General features: G+C 36.2%; 1 protein-coding gene across 5 annotated transcripts in view; it reads right to left on the bottom strand.

Annotated features, from left to right (window-relative positions):
• DYNC2H1 (dynein cytoplasmic 2 heavy chain 1) overlaps positions 1-19,583 on the bottom strand; it is a 370,438-nt gene that overhangs the window by 198,276 nt on the left and 152,579 nt on the right. For all 5 annotated transcript variants that reach the window (NM_001080463.2, NM_001377.3, XM_017018291.2 and 2 more), the window contains one exon: positions 1,175-1,240. In NM_001080463.2, the coding sequence (NP_001073932.1) occupies positions 1,175-1,240 (66 nt within the window). The remainder of the gene's footprint in view (positions 1-1,174; positions 1,241-19,583) is intronic.

The following is a 19,583-nucleotide window of genomic DNA, read 5'->3' as shown; positions in this document are numbered from 1 at the left end:
AAATAAGCAAAATATATGAAAATTTGAGAGCAATGTGGAAAAACTACCAAAGCAACATATTTTCTGGCTTCACTCACCCTGGCCACACACTCTTCCTATTACAATTATGCAGCCACAAATAAGTAAAATATGAATGATTACTACTACATTATGTGAGTCAGAGAAAAGTGTTCTCCTTTCCCAATGACAATTTGTTTATACTTTAGGAGAGAAAAATAAGGAATATATATATTTCATGGAACATACTGATCATAGTGAAAAATATTAGATAAGAGGAGGAAAAGAAATCAAAGTTAACAGCAGGAATAAACTGGACCAAATTAATAAATTCAGCAGAAACTATACATGTCAGTGCATGTGGAGTCAGAGAAAAACAAAGGGAGAACATATGAACTGTGAATGGTCTGCATTATTTTAACTATTATATTCAAATGAAAGGAACCAGAAAATAGTTAAAATTTGACTAAGTAGAGTAAAGTAAGTCAAAGTTGCACTGTCCATATACCATCCCTTGACACCCTGGCTACTGGAATCTCACTTTATGATAACAGCATCATAATGAGAAAAATTACTTGCAAATAGCTTTTTTTTTAAAATTGTAAGCAGACAAGAAATGGTCTCGTTAGCTCCAGCTCAAGGGAGGTCCTTTTAAAGTTTGAGAAGGGGTTACATGGCAGACTAGAAATGAGATCATAAACAAGGAAGACAAATTATACATAAAAAAATTAACATAAACCTGTAGGTTCAGGAAAACTTCTGAGAACTGCCCATCTTCATGCCTCACCTGCTGCCTCTTGACAGTTCAGTGGAAGCAATAAATAATGTAGTTTTGTACCAATATTGTCTCACTTTTTCTATATGAGCTCTACTACCTAGGCCGGGAAAAGAAGAAGGCTGACTCTTCTGTTGCCCTAAGTAAGTGAACTTGGGTTCAGAAAAATGTAGGCAGCTTTGTAGATTTCTTTCCCTGCTTTACCATCACTCTGGAATGTTAGGCTCATCCACAGGGAAGTAGAACTAGGAATCACCATTTTATACTACATTTCTAACTTAGTAAAAGATTAATAGGTTGATATATAATTTCTAGCCTAAATAATTTCTAATCTAAACATAAATCCACCCATTAACAAATTTCTATGTTACTGTAAAATTTCTCTCCTTTAATTTGACTTACATTTTCTTGAAAAAGTTCAGGATGCATGCCTCGAACAAAATGCAAAGCGAACATCAACTGATCAGCCTGCAAAGAATAACAGATATTATCTTGCCTTTTAAAAATTTGTGTCTTTGGAAAAGCATAGTCGTTAAAATTTGGCACACAAAAATCTCTATTCTGTCTTCATATGACCTACTTTTTTATCGATGTAAGAAATTACTATTCAGATTGCTTTCTACATCTTAGAGACACTTCAAGTCAGGGGTGGGGTCAGAGTAAGTAAGTGATCACATTTTTGGAGAAAGCACTAACAATTATGCAGTGGGCCCATGTCATTAAAAAACAAAACAAAACTAACTTAGCCAGGTGAAACATTAATATAGTTGTGAAATTTGATTAGTCATCATCCACCAAATCCACTCCATGCATTAGCAATCTTCAGTTTGTCACTGTGTAGGTTTAAACATATGGGTGACTACATGCAATTATGACAACTATTTTCTCCTTACTAGATAGATTAATTTCCTAAATCAAACAGGAAACTGTAGTGAACTCTTCATTTTCCACACAAGAAGAAAAGTTATACCAAATAAGTCCAAACAACAAATAATTCCTTCAATGTGTTATCACTTAGAAAGTTAAAACATGAGTAACTAATTGAGGTTAGATAATACAGAAAAAACTATCAGATAACCCAGTACTTCACAGGTAAAACGAAAGCAGAACCAAAAACAGGCTGTCAATAAATAGGTATCAAAAAGACACCAATCACATAGAATGAGAGTTATCAAAGGAGAAGGTCGTATCTACTTTATCAGAAAACTACAACACAGATTATGCTCAGAAATTTCTCAGTAAAGGAAGGAGGAAAAAAAGAAGGGAAGATAGAAAAATAAGGTAGAAATTAAGATTCAGACTTTCAGGAGCAATCTAAAAGACAAAATAAAAAGAAAGAAGGAAGAAACAAAGTCGAAGAATGTAGGAAGTGAATTCAATAATACGCCGCATACATTCCACTGCCGGTAGTCTTAGGAGGATCATACTCTTTGACTTCAACTCTTTGAAATTAAATAATATATTTACAAAGAACTGAAAACTAATTATTTTCCATAAGTAAGAACTGGTTCAATTTTTAAGAACATATTAAATTAAATAAGAGCCACAAGTTTATATATGGCATACAAAATTGAGTAAATAAAATTATGTCTTTATTAAAATATAATAAAACATCTTTCTGGTAAAACAATACTGTGTCAGACATATAGTATGGAAATGGATAAGATATAATTGTAACATGATGTATCAAAAACACCACTCTTAAATACAGGGTACCTATGCAAAATAAGATTTGATGTTTTCATCTTTTAAATGTTGTGGAAATAAACGAACTTGTTTCCATTTATGGGAAGAATGTTTTTAATCCACACAGTATACTAACTCTACTCTCCATGAGACTGGGTAGGCCTTGTTCTCCACTGCAACCCTATTGCCTACAATAGGCAGGTGGATAACAAGTATTTCTTATAAGAACAGTCTCATTACATGGGCATTAAGAACCCACACAGGGCCAGGCATGGTGGCTCATGCCTGTAATCCCAGCAATTTGGGAGGCCAAGGCAGGCGGATCACCTGAGGTCAGGAGTTCGAGACCAGCCTGGCCAACATGGTGAAAATCTGTCTCTACTAAAAATACAAAAATTAGCTGGGTGTGATGGCATGCGCCTATAGTTCCAGCTACTCAGGAGGCCGAGGCAGGAGAATCACTTCAACTCTGGAGGCGGAGATTGCAGTGAGCCAAGATCTCCCCATTGCATACTCCAGCCTTGGCAGCAAGAGTGAAACTCCGTGTCAAAAAAAAGAAAAAAGAACCCACACAGGTCCAGAATCAAGAAACTGGATATAAATTCCATCCCTCCTATTTTACTAGCCAGGTGACCTTAGCCAGAAACAAATTACATCATCTCTCTTGACCTCAGTTTCCTTCTCTGTAACAGGGGACAATAATATTAAATACTATCTACCTCACTGCATTATTTTAATAATTAGATTAGATAATGTATCTGAAGCACTTAGCATGGTACCTAGGACACTCTAAAAGCCCAATAAACATTAGTTATTATCATTTTATTAGTACTAATAATGAATAAAACAGATCCTACATTTTATTTAATCATTATTAATCTTTTTGTCTATGGAACACAATTACCAACTTGCAGGAAATTAAGATAGAAAATCAGCAATTGGTGACTCAGTTCTAGCAAAATGGAAGATGAAAGACTAATTTTCAAAACATTCCAGCTACAAATACCTAAAATCTTGGATAAAAGGTCCTCAAGCATCAGAAAAAAAGAGGGAATTGAAAACCAGAGTGGCATTAAAACCAGCTATGGCTGCCTTAGAGGAAAACAGTCATGGTAACCTAGGGCACAACCTACCAGAGCCAACATAAGGAGAAATATTAACAATGAGATTTCTTTCTTTCTAAAACTTGGGCCCTTAAAGAATTACATTATCAGCAAAAATATGAACCAGAAAAAAGTGCCCATGCTCACAAGAAGCAACAAATATACCTGGAATCTGGGGAAAAGAAAAGCGTCCTCTGAAAAAATTAAACATCATACTTGTGCCGAGCACAGACTTAAGGCATAAATTTTAACAATGGACTGACAGGGAGTCCCTAAACAACAGAACTAATCATGATGTCACTAGGTTACCTGGTAAGAGTCGAGGCAAGCTTGCTTTAGAGAACTACTCCCCTAACCCTGTTCTCAAAGAACTCCAAAAGATAAAGTATCACTGAAGATGGGTTCACGGTCCAAAATTATCAGCAGGAGAAAACAATCCACTATAAGCAAGGGTCATTAGACACATCAGAAAAGAAGACTAAAATGTTAAGAATTTCAGATAATAGAACAATCTGAAAGAGACTCTAATACAAGTATCATTAAATACTCAAGAATGTAAGAAGGGACTAAACATCCCAGAAGTATACAGCGCTTCTGAAAAAGGCAGATGAAGGAGGGGGAGAGAACTTTATAATTGTTTAAATTAGACCCAGATGAAGAAAAATTTGTAAAATATAAGTAAAATGAAAGAAAAACCGAAGGAAATTACCCACATTAAAATAAAATTGGAGCTAAATTTTTAAAAAATTGAATACAAAAAGCCATACATGATAAAATTTGAACACACACTTTGTATAACTATATGAGCACAAATAAATTTGTGAAGAATAAAACCAAATTTTTAACACCTGTTATATAAGGTCTAAAAGGGGGTAACAAGTTGGGGAGAGACTGAAAAGGAGACTTTTTTTTCTTTATTTATATGTATACATTATTTGGCTATTACAAAGAGCATGAATAACTTGTAATTTAAAAAATTAAGTGGCATATGTTAAAATAAGAATTGTAAGGCCAAGTACTTTATAAAATACCTGGTATAAATAAGGTTCAGAGATTTAAAACTCGAATAGATTGCTGTTGAGAATGAAATTGACTCTGTCTTTTTTGGAGGGCATTTTATGTGTTCCTTAACACTCTACATGTCCTTATATAAAGAAATTTCACTTCTAGAAATTTAAGCAAAGGGATCACGTATGTGCTCCTAATAAGAAATAAGGACAGTCATTGAAAGATTGTTTATAACAGAGGGAAACCTTATATAACAATATCCAAAAGTCTATCATAAATAATAATCAAAACAAAATATATACAGCATAATCCATTTTGTAGAAGGAGGAGGAAGATGTTTATAAAAACATACATATATGGATAAACATCTGCAAAAACACATTAAAATAGCAAAATTTTAATCAGTGATTTAATTTTAAGATTATAGGTCCTTTTTGTTTTCTTTATTCTTATGTGTATTTTGCAAATTTTCTAAAAATAAGCTTGTATCATTTGCGTTTTTTAAAAAACCCACTAAATGTTTATTAACAAAAAGAAGCCATCTATTAAGCACAAACCTTCCTACCAAGTTTTAACAGATAATTTATATAGCTTTTCCCATATTGTAATACTTTACATCTAGTATTATATGTATGTGTAATTATAAACCTACAGGTTGGGATAAATATGAGATTAAGTCACAATTTATACAAAACATACATACAATGAAAAGACCTTCCTGTAAGTACTACAAGCAAGTTATTTCCTTGCCTACAAGAAAATCACACCTACATACGTAAAATTTCTTTTATAAAAGTATATATTGGGGATGTGCATGTGTGTGTGTGTGTAGTACTCAATAACTATTTCTTGATTAAGTGAATTAACAAAAACAAACATGTGACCATGTAAAAAAAAGTTCCACATCATATGTCATCAGAAAAAGGCAAATTAAAATAAGTCACTACTATACACCTATGAGAAAGGCCAAAATCCAAAACACTGACAGCACCAAATAATGGTAAGGATGTTGAGCAACAGAAACCCTCATTAATTGCTGGCAGGAATGCAAAAGGGTACAGCCACTTTGGAAGGCAGGTTAGCGGTTTCTTACAAAACAAAACATATTCTTACCATATGATCCAGAAATTGCCTTCCTTGGTATTTACCTAAATGTGTTGAAATGTTATGTCTACACAAAAACCTGCATATGGATGTTTACAGCTGCTTTATTCATAACTGTCAAAACTTGGAAGCAACCAAGATTTCCTTCAGTAGATGCCGAATGGATAAACTGTGGTCCTCCAGATAAAGGAATTTTAATCAACATTAAAAAGAAATGAGATATTACACCATGAAAAAAACATGAAAGAACCTTAAACGTACAATAGTAAGTGAAAGAAGACAATCTACAAAGGCTACATACTGACATACTGTATGATTCCAATTATATGACAAATATAATTAGAATATAATTTGGAACAGGCAAAACTATAGGCAGTAAAAGGATCAGCGTTTGCCAGGGGTTAAGTGAGCAGGAATGATAAGGCAGAGAATATTTTAAGAGCAGTGAAACTACTCTGTAAGATACTAGAATGGTGAACACATGTCATTTAAATTTCTCAAAATCCATATAAGGTACAATACCAAGAGTGAACTTTAATGTAAACTATGAACTTCAGGTGATTAGGATGTGTCAATGTAAGTTGAACAGTTTTAACAAGTGTACCACTCTGGTGCAGGATTTTGATAGTGAAAGAGGCTGTACAGTATGTGGAGGCAAGGAATGTATGGGAAATCTCTATACTTTCTGCTTAATTTTGCCATGAACCTACAACTGCTCTAAAAAATAAACCCTACTTTAAAAAAACACATTCACAACTATAACATAGCCAATGAATATTACATAGATAAATTTTATTTTATTTATTTATTTATTTATTTTTGAGACGGAGTCTCTCACTGTCGCCCAGGCTGGAGTGCAGTGGCGCAATCTCAGATCACTGCAACCTCCACCTCCCAGGTTCAAGTGATTCTCCCGCCTCAGCCTCCCAGTAGTTGGGATTATAGGTGCCCGCCACCACACCTGGCTAATTTTTGTATTTTTAGTAGAGACGGGGTTTCGCCATGTTGACCAGGTTGGTCTCCAACTCCTGACCTCAGGTCTTCCGCCCGCCTCAGCCTCCCAAAGTGTTGGGATTACAGGCATGAGCCACCACGCCCAGCCTACATAAATAAATTTTAAATCCCTCAAAACATAACAGATCTAAGCAATTGGCCATTGTTCAAGTGTGGCTGAAAAACCCCCAAAAACAGTTACAACCAACTAATATGTATATGAAACAACTACCATGAGAATTAAAATACTATAAAAAGCAAGGTGTGTCTTTTGGGAAGATGTGTAGCGTAGTATTCTTAGGTATTAGGTTAAAATTCAGATTTGTAGTTAAATAATGATGAGCTGGAGAAGCTAGTAAGATGAATATTTTATAAATTAATGAATCTTTAAAATGATTATAATAACATATAGTTTAAGGTAAAGAAATACATAATTATCGATAAAGATAAATAAGACAATAAATGTATTAATTCAAAAACGTTATCATTTAATGATATTGTTCAATACTTATAATTTAATGATATAGCAAATTCTTTTCATTTGTTTTGATGTTTGTTTTTACAGACATGGTCTCACTCTGTTGCCCAGGCTGGGGTGCAGTAGTGTGATCATAGCTTACTACAGCCTCAAACTCCTGGACTCAAGTGATCCTTCCACCTTGACCATGCAAAGTGCTGAGATTACATGTATGAGTCACCATGCCTGGCCTAGTTAATTCTTTATGACAGATATATATATCTGTGACACACACAGATATATATATATGTGTGTGTATATATATATATACACACACACACAAACAAATGTACACACAGTACTACTACATTTATTTTAGCCATTTCTTCACTTGTACTGAGGAAGAACAATGTAGTCTCTAGGTTCAAGAACAGAAGCAAAGCCCCTGTCAGTCTATGGTCCTCAGATTATCCACTGGAGTCAGTAAACTAATTGCTAATTATTACTGAGCCCAAAACTCCAAAATGTTGTCAAAAAATAGGCACATAATATGTAGACAATAAGTGGGTAATGGTGGTTACCCTTCTCCTGTTATCTGGTTACAGAAGATATCCTGACCTTAAGAATGAGCATATAATTACGGTGTTGCTCAATCACATCGCAGCACTCCATAGACATTGATACAAGGGTTTCCATGTGACCTCAGACAGGCCAACCAGGATCTTCTTCCTTAATTTTCTAAGCTGGAAATGGCAAAGAAAGCTCTTTTGGCCCTATATCTGGTTGCCTACCTGTACCAATAAATCCCTTCAGCCATAAGTATTTAACAATAACATTATAAAGCAGAACAATAATGATTCAAGAATAATACTAAAAACACAATTTACAGAAAAAGAGAAAAAGAACATGCGCACAAGTGCATGGCTGCATTATTTCCAGTTAAACTGAATTAAAATTAAGAATAAAAAAATTAAGGGGCTGGGTGCCATGGCTTATGCCTGTAATCCCAACATCCTGGGAGGGAGAGGCGGGCAGATGACTTGAGCTCACGAGTTTGAGGCCAGCCTGGGAAAAATGGTGAAATTCCATCTCTACAAAAAGTACAAAAAGTAGCCGCCCATGGTGGTGTGTGCCTGTAGTCCCAGTATTTGGGAGGCTGAGGTGGGAGGATGGCTTTAGCTCAGGAGGCAGAGGTTGCAGTGAGCCGAGATCGCACTACTGCACTCCAGCCTGGGCAATAGAGCAAGACTCTATCAAAAAAAGAAAGAAGAAAAGAAAAGAAAAGAAAGAGAAGAGAAGAGAAAAGAAAAAGAAAAGAAAAGGGGAGGGGAGGGAAGGGAAGGGAGAAAAAAATGAATAAATTAAGGCTTTCTGAATAGTTTTTTTTTTAAAAAAACTGTCAAAATCCAAAATTGAGCAAATATTTTGGTATCTTTAAAATCCTTCATCTATTTTTGCTTTATCAGATCAAGAAATTTGGTCACTTTAATTCAATGACAATTTATTTCAATATACTTGAGTTTTGTTTAAAAATATTTTAATATCAAGGGGATATATAACAAGCAAAATCTCAAGTGAATAACTCTCTAAATGAATAACTACCTAATGAAGAAAAATTAATAAATGACAGTAGGCCATTAGATGGTTTAAGTCAACCACACCTCCCATACATTAAATCCCATACACTCTAGTAAATAATTATAATTAGAGTGAAACTACTAGATCAGGATTAATATGACATTAGGACATCTTAAAGTGAATCTTATAGTTGAGATCAAGTCCACATTTCCAGGCATAGTGGTTTGTTTCAACTGCATCTTATCAGCAAGATAACTTCAGCATCAAGCAGGATGCACTAGAATTTCTTTTTTATTTATTTATTTATTTATTTAATTATACTTTAAGTTCTAGGGTACATCTGCACAACGTGCAGGTTTGCTACATATGTATACATGTGCCATGTTGGTATGCTGCACCCATTAACTCGTCATTTACATTAGGTATATCTCCTGATGCTATCCCTCCCCCATCCCCCCACCCCACGACAGGCCCTGGTGTGTGATGTTCCCCTTCTTGTGTCCAAGTGTTCTCATTGTTCAATTCCCACCTATGAGTGAGAACACGCAGTGTTTGGTTTTTTGTCCCTGCGATAGTTTGCTCAGAATGATGGTTTCCAGCTTCATCCATGTCCCTACAAAGGACATGAACTCATCATTTTTTATGGCTGCATAGTATTCCATGGTGTATATGTGCCACATTTGCTTAATCCAGTCTATCACTGATGGACATTTGGGTTGGTTCCAAGTCTTTGCTATTGTGAGTAGTGCCGCAATAAACATATGTGTGCATGTGTCTTTACAGCAGCATGATTTATAATTCTTTGGGTATATACCCAGTAATGGGATGGCTGGGTCAAATGGTATTTCTAGTTCTAGATCCTTGAGGAATTGCCACACTGACTTCCACAATGGTTGAACCAGTTTACAGTCCCACCAACAGTGTAAAAGCATTCCTATTTCTCCACATCCTCTCCAGCACCTGTTGTTTCCTGACTTTTTAATGATCGCCATTCTAACTGGTGTGAGATGGTATCTCATTGTGGTTTTGATTTGCATTTCTCTCATGGCCAGTGATGATGAGCATTTTTTCATGTGTCTGTTGGCTGCATAAATGTCTTCTTTTATCCTCTAGATCTAAGTTAAAGATTATTAGCTGTAAATCTTAGTTTATTCCTCTGTATAACAGAATTGTTGTAAGCATTAAATGGCAGTATATGTAAGGCACTTAACAAAAGGTGATCAGTAAAATAACTACCTGATATACAGTAAACTGATATACTATATAATAGTCATATCAAATTTACTTCCAAAACATTCCATAAACCCCATGATCCTCAAAGAGACTAAGGAAGCAGTAAAAAATCTAAGTAATTCATTCCTTTTACTTCTACTCTACTATATTTATTGCTTTCAAATATGTTCAATGAAAAGTATAAAAGAAATGTTACCTTGTGAAGAGAAGTCATGCTTTAAGCTCAAAGCAGTTTATATAACATTGAACTTGGGCATTCACATACTGCTTGAGACTAAATCACTCATTTTCATGAATAATTTTATGCACATTCAACTGTATTTTCAGAAAACTCAAAGGATTAGATACAATTCTAGGAGTTTCAAAGTTATTTAAGCAGAAGAAAATTGTGTCACTTATTAAGATTCACTTTAGTAGCCACAAGTTATAAAATTTCTAAACATCCAACCACAGAACTTCCACTTTTTCATATAAGAAAAACTAATCTTCGCAGAAAAAATAGCAGAATCCAAATTAAATTATTTGCACACTAAATACAATCATGTGAGGTTAGTAATATTATACTTTAAAACATAATATATATCTGAATTTTACTCCATCAACAAACAAATTCATATGGAAATGGAGGCAAGGTGAGCGGCACAGACACTAACTTTCAAGAAGTTTGCATGAAAACAATTTCTCCTCATATTCCACCATTTTTCTATGCCATTTCAAATCTAAGATATTAATTCCAAGAAGTAAGGGAAACAGTAAGAATATAGTATTCTAATTCCTGTGGATTCAGTTACCTACAGTCAACAGTGGTCTGAAAATATTAAATGGAAAACCCCAAAAACAAAGAACTCATAGATATTAAATTGCAAGCCATTCTGAGTAACATGATGAGATCATGTGCTGTCTGGCTCCATCCTGTCTGGGTCATCAATTGTCCCTTTGTCCAGCAGATCCATGCCATATATGCTACCTGTCCGTTAATCACTTAGTAGCCATCTCAGTTATCAGATCAACAGATCACAAGAAGGGTGAGTAGAGTACAATAAGATAGTTCGAGAGAGAGAGAGAGAGAGAGAGAGGTACCACATCATATAATTTTCATCACTATATATTGTTACAATTGTTCTATTTTACAATTGTTACAATTGCTCTATTTCACTATTGTTACAATTGTTCTATTTTACTATTAGTTATTATTGTTAATCTCTTACTGTGCCTAATTTATAAATTAAACTTTATCACTGATATATATCTGTAGATATAGATATGTATAGGATAATACCAAAGCCTACATATATTATGTTTTTTCCTATAGGGTTTGGTACTATCTACAGTCCTAGGCACCCATGCGGGGTGTCTTGGATTGTATCCCCCATAGATAAGAGATGACTACTGCACATGCTCCCAATCCTTCCTTCCAACCATTTTCTTTCTTTTATTATTATTATTTTTTTTTTTTTTTTTGAGATGGAATCTTGCTCTGTCACCCAATCTGGAATGCAGTGGCGTGATCTCAGCTCACTGCAACCTCCACCTCCTGGGTTCAAGCAATTCTCGTGCCTCAGTCTCCAGAGTAGGTGGGATTACAGGCACACCCCACCATGCCCAGCTAATTTTTGTATTTTCAGTAGAGATGGCGTTTCACCATGTTGGTCAGACTGATCTCAAATCCTGACCTCAGGTGATCCGCCTGCCTTGACTCCCAAAGTGCTGGGATTACAGGTGTGAACCACCGCACCCAGCTCCAACCATTTTCTGTATACTCACCCTATATAGTTGAAAATGAATACTCCAACAACTTCCATTATTTTGTACCTATTCTAAATTATAAAGTAAATGAAGAAACAATACATAAAGGTACTTAGATATAAAAATTGTTTTATTATAAACATAAGTTTTAGGGAACAAAATATACAATTTATCCTATAATTGTCTGAAATAGGTAACTGAAATAAAAACTTTTGATCTCTTGAAGAAAAAACAATGGAATAGCTAATAATATAAACTGAAAGGTCTAGACAGCTTTCTTTATGTGTTTTAGTTTATTAACAGTCTAAATTTCCTGCTACAAAATAAGTCAATCATGTTTCTGTTCCAGGTCAACTTGCTTTCAGTTCAATGTGATGTGAATATTAATAATCCTAGTCTCTCTCTATTTCAAGAGTCTACTGTTGCCATACTGCTGTCACCAACACAAGAGCAAATTCAGCATGAGAGAAACCTAGCAGGTAGTTTAATGTTACGCTGACTGCTAAAAACCCTAAAAGCTTTCATTAAATATAAAATTGGTTCCATCCTAAGTAAGGTTATAGTGATAAATTTGAGAAATGTATCTCATTGCTATATGATTAATGTGCTTTCTGAATTTTTATTAATCACTGAAACTCTATGGAATGTTGAATTTAATATTACTCAAACAGAAATATGAATTTTCCAAAACAGATATTCCATCATCAATTAAAACATGTCTTAAAAATAGCTTTTTAAAAATGATTTTCACATGTTCACAATAGAAAAGTATTATTCAAAGTAAGCAATGAAAAATCCCAATTGAGTACTAACTAAAATATTAATAAGCTTAAGCCTCTCAACGTCTGTCCTAGTGAACAAAATGCTGCCTTTTGCCTAATATATGCATTTTTAAAAGTTAAAGTAACTTCAAAGAAATAATCCCACTGCAGTCACTATAGTCCACTAATATATTAAATCATTTTATCCTTCCCAAATTACATTATAAAATATGACACAGGGGTTCAAATTTCATCAGTGAATATACTGTATTACTAACGATAAAATGAGAATATATAAACTGAGATAAGACACATAGCTTAGAAACAAGCAACTAACTCCTAATAAGAAAAGCTACTAATATTTCAAATGAACAAGAAGGAAGTTTATATTCTCTTTTGCCATAAACAATTTTTAATAATAATATTTATTTATAACATATCCACTTTCAAAAAAGATTTGGGGCAGCTTAAAATAACTGTAACTCCATAACATTTTCATAAATCACAGCCCATTTCAGTGTAAAGGTCTTAGAAATAAAAATTTAAAAACCATTAAACACATTATTACAAGACTGACCAATAACGAAACTTCGTAGGCTTAATATATTGCCTAGAAAATAAAACAGATTAAAACTACATTTAAAAAAACTACTCATACAAATCTAACAACCTAGAAGTATAAATTAAGTAAATCCAATGATTAAAAAATAGAAGATAATAATTACAGCAAAATAGACTTTTTCTATATAAAGCAAAAGCTTATTTAAAATATCAAGAAAACAGATGAATATGACAAGGTAAGGGAAGAAGGTAGAAATAAACAACTTTAAAAACAATAAGATAACATTTATAAACCAGAGCTTGGTAAAAATTTAAAGGACTGATAACATCCTGGGTTGATAAGGTGCAACAAAGGAGATAAAGATATACCTTTATTATTATGTGGGTAGAGATATTAACTGGTAAAAAGCTTTTCAGAAAGCAATCTGCTAATATTCAATAAGATTTATAAAGCAATCCTTGGACCAGCAATTATACTTACAGAAATTTACTGAATAGAAATACTTATACTATACATAAAAATAAGTGTACCATATAGGATATTCACTATAGTCATGTATAAGAACAAAAAATGTATAAATAATCTAATATTCACTGAGAGTAGTAGATGAAGTAGTACATGGTCATATTATAAAATAGCACACAGTCACTAAAAATAATGAAGTTAACATGTTTATACTCATGGAAAGATCTTCAGGCCTTACTACAAAAAGAAGAGAGAAATTATGGAACAAAATATATAGCAAGAAAAATTTAAAAATTATATCTATATATTTGTACTTATGAATATAAAGAGATAGGAAATGGATGATAAGGAACAAATCAAACCTTGAACTGGTTTACTCTGATGAAGGAATAAGGGATGGAAATAGTTAAATGGATCTTTAAGGTTTCCTTTCTATATAGTTCCATTAAGCTTGAAACTCTAAAAATATTTTAAAGTTTTGTTTGTATAATGAAAAAGTTTTAAGTATTGCATGAGATAATACATTATACAATATTAGACAAAACAGGATATCTATAACTAATGAAACTATCACTATGAAGGTTATCTTCATAATTAGGATCATAACATTTTAGTAACAAAATGGCTTTGAGATCATTTGCTTATAATTTCCCATTTTACACAAGGTAAAATTGAGGCTTAAAAAGTGAGGTTTGGATTATAGTCAAGTGCAAAATCTTTACAAGGAAAATATACAGAGTGGAAGGCAAGATGACCTACTAGATGCAACCAGGTGGAACAGCTCCCACTGAAGGGCCAAGAAGACTGGCGGGCCCTAACAGATCTTCAGAGGGAAAGCACCAAGAGTGATACAGGGAAGACACAGAAGCTCGGTTGAAGGAGGAGAAAGCTGGGAACCCCACCCAGAGCTACTGCACACCTGGACTTGTTCCTGGCCCTCAGTGGCTCTGGGGACTAAGTGAGTTGAACCGGCAAGATGCAACCTTTTCTCGCCACAGGCCTCTGGAACCCGGGCAGGAAAAGATCCCTTGACCACCACAGACACTTGAGTTGGCAGGGAGAGGGGCTTACAGAAGTGGTAGGGGCAGCAAGCCAGCTGATGTGGAGCCCAGGGGGTTTGGTACCGGAGTATGTGCAGCAGAGCTGGCCAGGAATGGCCATTCCCAGCTCAACTTGCTCCCATTGGAGACTTTAGCTCTAAGGGAACTGTTTGTCCTGAACTCTGCAGGGCAGTCTTGCCCATTAGACTGGCTGTTTTAACCTGAGCACCCCTTGGTCTGCTGGCATCTCCGGAAGCCCCAATCTGGCCACGCCTGCTTGCAGGGCAGCCTCAGGTGCCCAGGGGACCTGCATTAGCAGACTGTGCCTGACTGGCAGACAGCTCCAGCAGAGCTGTCTCCATAGCTGTGCACCAGCCCATGCGCTCCCTCCCCACACTCCAGCTTCCCCACGATCCACAGCAACTCCACACATCTTTGCGGTGCATGTATGCATAGCCAGCTTTTGCTTTCCTTGCCATACCAGCATGTGAAAGTGCAGTCTGCCCAACCTCCCACCACCCACCACCATCGCAAAAAGAGCCTTGGCAGGCAGAGAACCAGCTGGCCCCACCCCCGCTAGTGGCTGACTTTTGTGCTAAGACTGCCACTGGAATGGAACTAAGTGCAGAGAAGAGAAGATGCTCCCCAGACCTGAGTGACCGCTCCTGCTTGCAGGGTCACAGAGAAGGCACCCACCTGCACCCACAGGGGCCCTGCCCTTGAGCCAACACCACCTGCAGTGTGATCATGCACACAGTCATCTGCAGGGGCCCCACATGCCCTCCCCGCAGCTGTGCTGCCTCCCCCACCTGGTTAATGCAAGCAGAAAGGTAGGCACTCTGGGACCATTTAGTACCCTGACACAGCTGCTGCTACCACTGCTGCTGGCACTTGCAAACAGGGATGAATCCCACTGTAACCGCACTATGAAACACTTAGGTAACACCACCTATCGCAGTGTAGTGACCAGCGGTCACAGAGCGCCTTGCCCCTCCCACCCCACCCACCCTGACTGCCCTACATGTGGATTCCCAACCACAGTGGATTCCTAACCCCAAGGAGCCAGAGATCAAAGTTGGGGCCCAATATGAGTCCCCCAGAGTTAGGGCACACAGTCCAGGAAATGGGAGATGAGCGCTGGCCCACTAAAATCTTCCAGAAACAAAAGCAGCTAACTAAATCCAGCTTAAACCTCAATCAAACATTCAATGTCATTAAATAGAATAAAAGGAAAAACAAAAAAACCATCGAAAGGTGAGCAACCTCAAAGACTGAAGATAGGTAGGCCCAAAAAGATGAGAAAGAACCAGCCCAAGAAACCTGAAAGCTCAAAAGGCCAGAGTGCCTTCTTTCCTCCAAACAACTTCATCACCTTTCCAGCAAGCAACCACATTGAGATGGCTGAAATGACAGAAATAGAATTCATAATATGGATAAAGAAGATAATAGAATTCAAAATAAAGATCATTGAGCTACAGGAATACATTGAAAGGCAATCCAAGAAAGCTAAAAATCATGATAAAACAATGCAGGGACTGACAGACAACCTAGTCGGTATAGAGAAGAATACAACTGATCTGATACAGCTGAAAAACTTACTACAAGAATTTTATAAGGAATCTAAATTATTAAGAGCAGAATAGATGAAGTGGAGGAAAGAATCTGAGAGCTTGAAGACTATCTTTCTTTTCTGTTTTTTAAAATTTTACTTAAGTTCTGGGATACTTGTGCTGAACGTGCAGGTTTATTACATAGTTATACATGTGCCGTGGTGGTTTGCTAAACCGATCAACCCATCATCTAGGTTTTAAGCCCTACCTGCATTAGGTATTTGTCCTAATGTTCTCACTCACTTTTTACCGCACCCCCCAACAGGCTCCAGTGTGTGATGTTCCCCTCTCTGTGTCCATGTGTTCTTATTGTTCAACTCCTACCTACGTGTGAGAACATGTGGTGTTTGGTTTTCTGTTCCTGTGTTAGTTTGCTGAGAATGATGGTTTCCAGCTTCATCCATGTCCCTGCAAAGGACATGAATTCATCCTTTTTTTGTATCCTGAGACTTTGCTGAAGTTGCTTATTAGCTTAAGGAGCTTTTGGGCTGAGACGATGGGGTTTTCTAAATATACAATCATGTCATCTCCAAACAGAGACAATTTGACTTTCTCTCTTCCTATCTGAATACCCTTTATTTCTTTCTCTTGCCACTTTGCCCTGGCCAGAACTTCCAGTACCATGTTGAATAGGAGTTGTGAGAGAGGGCATCCTTATCATGTGCTGGTTTTCAAAGGGAATGCTTCCAGCTTTTGCCCATTCAGTATGATACTGATATTGATTCACATTCGGTATGACATTGGCTGTGGGTCTGTCATAAATAGCTCTTATTATTTTGAGATACGTTCCATCAATACCTAGTTTATGAAGTTTTCAGCATGAAGGTGTGTTGAATTTTATTGGAGGCCTTTTCTGCATCTATTGAGATAATCATGTGGTTTTTGTCATTAGTTCTGTTCATGTCATGGATTATATTTATTGATTTGCATATGTTGAACCAGGGATGAAGCCAACTTGATTGTGGTGGATAAGCTTTTTGATGTGCTGCTGGATTCGGTTTGCCAATATTTTATTGAGGATTTTCTAATCAATGTTCATCAGCGATATTGGCCTGAAATTTTCTTTTTTTGTTGTGTTTCTGCCACGTTGTGGTATCATGATGATCCTGGTCTCATAAAATGAGTTAGGTAGGGGTCCCTCTTTTTCTATTGCATGGAATAGTTTCAGAAGGAATGGTACCAACTCCTCTTTGTACCTCTGGTAGAATTTGGCTGTGAATCCATCTGACCCTGGGCTTTTTTTGGTTGGTAGGCTATTAATTACTGCCTCAATTTCAGAACTTGTTATTGGTCTATTCAGGGATTCGACTTCTTCCTGGTTTAGTCTTGGGAGGGTGTATGTGTCCAGGAATTTATCCATTTCTTCTAGATTTTCTAGTTTATTTGCGTAGAGGTGTTTATAGTATTCTCTGATGGTAGTTTGTATTTCTGTGGGATCGGTGGTGATATCCCCTTTATCATTTTTTATTGCATCTATTTGATTCTTCTCTCTTTTCTTCTTTATTAGTCTTGCTAGCGGTCTATTTTGTTGATCTTTTCATAAAACCAGCTCCTGGATTCATTGATTTTTTTAAGAGTTTTTCATGTCTCTATCTCCTTCAGTTCTGCTCTGATAGCTGTTTCTTGTCTTCTGCTAGCTTTTGAATGTGTTTGCTCTTGCTTCTCTAGTTCTTTTAATTGTGATGTTAGGGGGTTGATTTTAGATCTTTCCTACTTTCTCCTGTTGGCATTTAGTGCTATAACTTTCCCTCTAAACACTGCTCTAGCTGTGTTCCAGAGATTCTGGTACATTGTGTCTTTGTTCTCGTTGGTTTCAAATAACTTATTTATTTCTGCCTTAATTTTGTTATTTACCTACTAGTCATTCAGAAGCAGGTTGTTCAGTTTCCATGTAGTTGTGCAGTTTTGAGTGAGTTTCTTAATCCTTAGTTCTAATTTGATTGCACTGTGTTGTGAGAGACTATTTGTTATGATTTCCGTTCTTTTCCATTTGCTGAGGAGTGTTTTACTTCCAATTATGTGGTCAATTTTAGAATAAGTGTGATGTGGTGCTGAGAAAAATGTACATTCTGTTGATTTGGAGTGGAGAGTTCTGTAGATGGGGTGGAGTTAGGTCCGCTTGGTCCAGAGCTGAGTTCGACTCCTGAATACCCTTGTTAATTTTCTGTCTCATTAATCTGTCTAATATTGACAGTGGGGTGTTAAACTCTCTCAATATTACTACATGGGAGTCTAAGTCTCTTTGTAGGTCTCTAAGAACTTGCTTTATGAATCTGGGTGCTCCTGTACTGGGCGCATATATATTTAGCATAGTTAGCTCTTCTCGTTGCATTGATCCCTTTACCATATGCAATGCCCTTGTCTTTTTTGATCTTTGTTCATTTAAAGTCTGTTTTGTCAGAGACTAGGATTGCAAACCCTGCTTTTTTTTTTTTTTTTTTTTTTTTGCTTTCCATTTGCTTGGTAAATATTCCTCCATCCCTTTATTTTGGGCCTATGTGTATCTCTGCATGTGAGATGGGTCTCCTGAATGCAGCACACCGATGGGTGTTGACTCTATCCTATTTGCCAGTCTGTGTCTTTTAATTGGAGCATTTACTCCATTTACATTTAAGGTTAATATTGTTATGTGTGAATTTGATCCTGTCATTATGATGCTGGTTATTTTGCCTGTTAGTTGATGCAGTTTCTTCATAGTGTTGATGGTCTTTACAATTTGGTATGTTTTTGCAGTGGCTGGTACTGATTTTTCCTTTCCATATTTGGTGCTTCCTTCAGGAGCTCTTGTAAGGCAGGCCTGGTAGTGACAAAATTTCTCAGCATTTGCTTGTCTGTAAAGGATTTTATTTCTCCTTCACTTATGAAGCTTAGTTTGGTGAGATATGAAATTATGGGTTGAAAATTCTTTTCTTTAGGAATGTTGAATATTGGCCCCTACTCTCTTCTGGCTTGTAGGGTTTCTGCAGAGAGATCCCCTGTTAGTCTGATGGGCTTCCCTTTGTGAGTAACCCGACCTTTCTCTCTGGCTGCCCTTAACATTTTTTCCTACATTTCAACCTTGGTGAATCTGATGATTATGTGTCTTGGGGTTGCTCTTCTCAAGGAATATCTTTGTGGTGTTCTCTGTACTTCCTGAATTTGAATGTTAACCTGTCTTGCCAGGCTGGGCAAGTTCTCCTGGATAATATCCTGAAGACTGTTTTCTAACTTGGTTCCATTCTCCCCGTCACTTTCAGGTACACCAATCAAATGCAGATTTAGTCTTTTCACATAGTCCCATAATTCTTGGAGGCTTTGTTTGTTCCTTTTCATTCTTTTTTCTCTAATCTTGTCTTCATGCTTTATTTCATTAAGTTGATCTTCAATCTCTGATATTCTTTCTTCTGCTTAATCAATTCAGCTATTGATACTTGTGTATGCTTCACACAGTTCTTGTGCTGTGTTTTTCAGCTCCATCAGGTCATT

Source organism: Homo sapiens, chromosome 11 (genome assembly GCF_000001405.40).
Source record: "Homo sapiens chromosome 11, GRCh38.p14 Primary Assembly".
Classification (NCBI taxonomy): Eukaryota; Metazoa; Chordata; class Mammalia; order Primates; family Hominidae; genus Homo; species Homo sapiens.
Note: the sequence above shows the minus strand (reverse complement) of the source record. Positions and strands in the feature narration are given on the sequence as shown.